Source organism: Homo sapiens, chromosome 6, assembly GCF_000001405.40.
Source record: "Homo sapiens chromosome 6, GRCh38.p14 Primary Assembly".
Lineage (NCBI taxonomy): Eukaryota > Metazoa > Chordata > Mammalia > Primates > Hominidae > Homo > Homo sapiens.
In genome coordinates this window covers 153,476,128-153,481,496 of record NC_000006.12, presented here as the reverse complement: position 1 = coordinate 153,481,496, position 5,369 = coordinate 153,476,128, and the positions used below count along the sequence as shown (strand labels likewise).

Sequence of the window (5,369 nt, the reverse complement as noted above, 5' to 3'; positions counted from 1 at the left end):
ATCCTAGAACTATAACAGCAAATGCCTATTTCACAACACAACAGCAAGGCCTGGAGAGAACTTTAGGTGATGGATGGGACATGGTACTCATGTAAGAACAATAGATTGAACAGAATAATGCACTGCCATTAGAAATTCCCTTGGTCCCACCTCAATATTGAATGTCTTTCAAATATACCCAGGACAATGGGGGTACCTATAATAAATTAAGCTACCTGGATTTCTTACCTCACATATTTAGGGAAAAAAAAAGTCTATGACAATGCAATATTTAAAAAAAATAAAACAAGATAAGGGAAAACTTATCTAAGGAAACATACCTCTTTTTTAATCCTGATTAAAGATTTTTAATAACTAAGATTTTTCTGACACAAGTCTTCTGAAACAACATGTTTGAAAATAAAGTTCTAGGAATGTTTTCACCAATGTAACTTCATTTATTCTTTATAGTAATTATTGGGAAGGGTCAGATAATTTCCTACATTACATGTGATTAAGCTTTCAGAAAGTTTACCATAATCCATACAACGTAAGATAAGAATTAGAAGCCAGTGCTAATATGTTGCCTAATTATGTGCCGTGCAAGCCTGCCAAACCAGTACTCAGGCAAGCTCCACACTAATCCCTTCTCCTTTTTCTTTAATGGTTTATGTTTTTCTGTTATAAAATATTTTATAAATGCCAAAATTTACAATACTTAAAGTCTTTCTCCCTCTCCTTGTATACATATACATTAGATATATGTATGTATATATAAAGCACACACACCCTAAATCAGAAATTTATATTCCCTTATATTTATGATTTATCTCATTCTCACCCACTCATGTTTCTGTAACACAAGACTGTAACAGTCTTACTATTGTAAGACTTCAGACATATTTAAACAGTTCACATGTATGTGCAAACATTTATATTTATAGATATGTGTATTCATTGACAGCATATTTTGTAATAGAAAAAGATTTGAGGCCGGGCGCAGTGGCTCAGGCCTGTAATCCCAGAACTTTGGGAGGCCAAGGCAGGCAGATCACGAGGTCAGGAGATCGAGACCATCCTGTCCAACACGGTAAAACCCTGTCTCTAGTACAAATAGAAAAATTAGCTGGGTGTGGTAGCAAGCGCCTGTAGTCCCAGCTACTTTGGAGACTGAGGCACAAGAATTGCTTGAATCCAGGAGCCAGAGGTTGCAGTGAGCCAAGATGGTGCCACTGCACTCCAGCCTGGGCAATAGAGCAAGACTCTGTCTCCAAAAAAAAAAAGAAAAAAAATGTAAACAGACACTCTGTCAACTCAGAATGGTCTTTGTTATCTTGTGAAGTGAAAAAGTAATACGTAAAAAAAGTATGCTGTCTAAAAGATATATTCTATGTATCTCCAGAACAATCAAAGAATGTACATTGCTGACTTTAAGGAGGGAAACTGGGGGCCTGGGGTTTATAAGGAGAAAGAAACGTTGTTCACCTACTAGTCTTTCAAAACCTTCAAACTTTGTTACATGTGAACGCATTACTTGTTTAAAAATAAGAGTTTTTTTTTTTTTTTAAAAACAGCCCAGGTAATAAGCACAAAATGGATATCATAATGTTAATATTACAGTTATAAAATGGATATCATAATGTTCATAAGCCAAAATTTTTTAAACTAGCCTCCTGAGAATACTGTCCTAAAAGATGTTCTGAAGAAAAACAACACAAAATTACATGACCTAGTATGTGTGGAAATACCAATGAAATCTTCGCCTCCTCCTTATTCACTATGAACTCTACATGTTCCAGGCCCTGATTAATTGTTTCGTAAAGGAACATCTTTAGCTCTTTTTTCATTCCATAATTTATAAGTTTGTATTCAACTTTTAAATCTCTTATACTAAGCAGCTTTTAACATCCAGTGACATCAGTTTTAACATGACACTCCTGAGAAAATAGAATACTGCTTTATGCTAAATTCAAGGCAATGTATGTAGAAGAGTCCATTACGCCATCACACAGAGTAATTTATTTTTATTTTGTACACAGACAACAGCAACCTTGGCAATCTAATTTCTAACTCAGCAACACGTTAGAAGTAACAAAGAAAGTGGGAGGGAGAGGCAGTGACAGGCATGTGTACTGATAGCTGGGAAAAGCTATGGATGAAACAAAAAAGAAAGCAGGCTGGAAAAAGAAAAATACACAAATGTGCAATAATTTGTGATTATTTTATTTAATTAACAAACAAGGAAGCAATAATAACTCATTTGATGTGTTTATGTATAGAGTAATTGGTGACACATTGAAGCCATCTTGATGAATGTGATTCATAACATTAAGAGATACATTTAAGAAACAAGAAATGACAGGAATATTCCTCACACAAGCCAGGAAAACACTACCAATTACAATGGGACTTTGATAGTGGTTTTGTCATAATATAAAGGATGCAATCCAATGAGCAATCTGGAAAATGGAAAGACAACAGCAAATTTCCACCTTTTACCTATTTAGCCTATTTAGAAGGAAAAGATAGTCTAAATTTTTTTTTTCTTTTTTCTTTTTCTGAGATGGAGTTTCGCTCTTGTTGCCCTGGCTGGAGTGCAATGGCACAACTTTTTCTTTTTTTAGACAGTCTCACTCTGTTGCACAGGCTGGTGTGTAGGCTGGTGTCCAGTGGCATGATCTCAGCTCACTAGAACCTCCCCCTCCCAGGTTCAAGTGATTCTGGTGCGTCAGCCTCCCAAAGTAGCTGGGATTAGAGGTGTGTGCCACCACACCCCAGCTGATTTCTGCATTTTTAGTAGAGATAGGGTTTCATTATGTTGGCCAAGCTGGTCTTGAACTCTTGACCTCAGGTGATCCGCCCACCTTGACTTCCCAAAGTGCTGGGATTATAGGTGTGAGCCACTGCACCTGGCCTAAGATAGTCTAATTTTCTCACACTTGTAAAAAAGTTTTCCAGAGTTATCTGTTACATTCAGTGAGATTATCCAGATGGAAGAGCTGTTAAAAACATCCAGTCGCCTTTGCTTTAATTCTTTCTTCATTAGCCACCTTCTAATCCATCATTTGCTTTTCTCAATGAGTTTTCTCCACAAAGAACACATATCTTACTTAGACGAGGGAATCTAGCTTCCAAGCATCTGTATCTTTGTTAACTAATCAGAATACATAAGTAAGCAAAGTTATTTTCATGTCTGAGATTTCTGCTGAAAGTTATTAAGAAATATAATGATGCATTTCGAAACAACTACAAAAATACATAAAACTAAAAAGTCATCCAACATCTATCAATTCTTTTTGTGATCACACAGGGTTTCTTATCTCTTGTGGAAGCTTTTGTAAATGATCAGTGGAAGAAAAAATACTTGAACATAAAGCAAAAAGACATGAAGTAAAACATTTCTCAACATAGATAAAACAGGGAAATTCACTTGGTCTGAAACATTCCAAATATTTGGGAAGCTGAAAATATTGGAAATACCATGATTTAGATCTCTCTGATTTTTATATTTAGTAATTATGTATAGTAATTCTCAACTTTCATTAACTTGGGTTTAATTATTTCACTGTAATATCTGTAGTTCTAAAATATGCATATTTTTCCACAAAGAAATTAATGTTTATTTGCTTCCTAAATAGAAATGTAGTAACGCAAATGCATTGTTTTACTGGATATTGTTTAAATGCTAATACCAAATAAGATACAGGCAGGAAAAGAACAGTCCCATTTTGAAGCCTCTAAATTTTTGAAAAGCAAATTTTAAAACTTGCCCCTTTTCCTTTTTATTTAAATTATTGTGTCATTGTTGTTTTTGTTTTGCTTTTACTTATTGAGTAGGTTCAACAACGGCAAGAGAAAGAAATAAGGTGGTTGTGGAGAAACACCTTTCCTAATTATAATTGGACTTTTATAGAGAAAGAAAAATATGGAAAAAGAAATATAAGTTTTCTGAGCCAAATGCATTATGGAACAAACATTAAGTTCTTCCTTACCAAGTAATGATTTTAGACCATGAAAATATTGTTTCTCTAAAAGCAAAATGCATCATGCAATTCAGAGTGCTCTGCAGGGAACAAGGCCACTAGGGAAGCAGCAGCAAAACACTTTCGATAAGAAAGTAGCAAATTGTTCCAGATTTTGTATTATTCTAGTCAACAGGAGACACAGAAATGTGAATTTTCAGAAAATGACATCACAAAATGGTCAGAAACAAAGAGTTCTATGAACTTTCTTTGAGGCACTTGCAGCAGTATGTAGTCCTTGCACTTTAGGCAAGCCAAAGTTATCCAATCTGATGGGAGTCATTCATTTCCCATCACACAACAGAGCTTTATCAGGGAGGAAAAGGGAGGCTAACATTATATCTAAATATATATACACATATGTAAGTCATCAGAATCCATGTCTAAATACTGGGACAGCGATCTTCCTCTGGTTGGATGTTAGGATGGAGAACAAGTCATTCTCGGAGGGAAAGAAAGACTATGGTTTTGTGGAAAGAAGTACAGTCTTGTGGCTGGGCACGGTGGCTCATGCCCGTAATCCCAGCATTGTGGGAGGCCGAGGCAGCCAGACCACTTGAAGTCTGCAGTTTGAGACCAGCCTGCCAACATGGTGAAACCCTGTCTCTACTAAAAATACAAAAATTAGCCAGGTGTGGTGGCACATGCGTGTAATCCTAGCTACTGGGGAGACTGAGGCACAAGAATCACTTGAACTCAGAAGGCGGAGGTTGCAGTGAGCTGAGATCATGCCACTGCATTCCAGCCTGGGTGACAGAACAAGACTCTGTCTCAAAAACAAACAAACAAACAGGCGAACAAGTACAATCATGTGCTGCATGTTTCTGTCAATGAAGAACCACATGTAGTACCATAAAATCATAATATATTATTTTCTCTGTAGCTTTTCTATGTTGAGATACACAAATACTTTATATTGTGCTACAACTACCTACAACATTCATTACAGTAATGTGCTGTACAGGTTTGTAGCCTGTGAACAACAGGTTATGCCGTATAGTCCAGGTATGATAGGCTCTACCATCTAGGTTTGCATAGGTACACTCTGTGACGGTCACATCATGACGAAATTGCCCGACCACACATTTCTCAGAATGTATCTCTTAGTTAAGTGATGCATGACTAGTAAGTTCAGCATGCTAAGGCTATGTATTCATTTCCCTGCAGTATGATTGGCGGATTATAAAACAGATATAAAATCAAATCCAACCTTTGCCCTTTGCTTCTAAGTAGCTTCGTGACTGAGGTGCTAAGTCTCTCTGAGCCCTTGGCTGTTTAATAAAATCAGCTAAATATCTATAATGTGACATTTCTTTAAGAATTAGAAAGTGCCTAACAGGGTGGTTATGTTTTTAGAAAGTAATGTTA

At 36.2% G+C, this 5,369-nt stretch overlaps 1 annotated feature.

The window, feature by feature from the left end:
* Positions 4,393 to 4,606: a silencer, noted in NCBI's record as "fragment chr6:153798026-153798239 (GRCh37/hg19 assembly coordinates)". NCBI's record gives its function as "represses an EF-1alpha promoter that drives an FKBP-Casp9 reporter gene in an ReSE screen in phorbol 12-myristate 13-acetate-treated (for megakaryocytic differentiation) K562 erythroleukemia cells {active_cell/tissue: K562(+PMA)}" and the evidence as "EXISTENCE:reporter gene assay evidence [ECO:0000049][PMID:32094911]".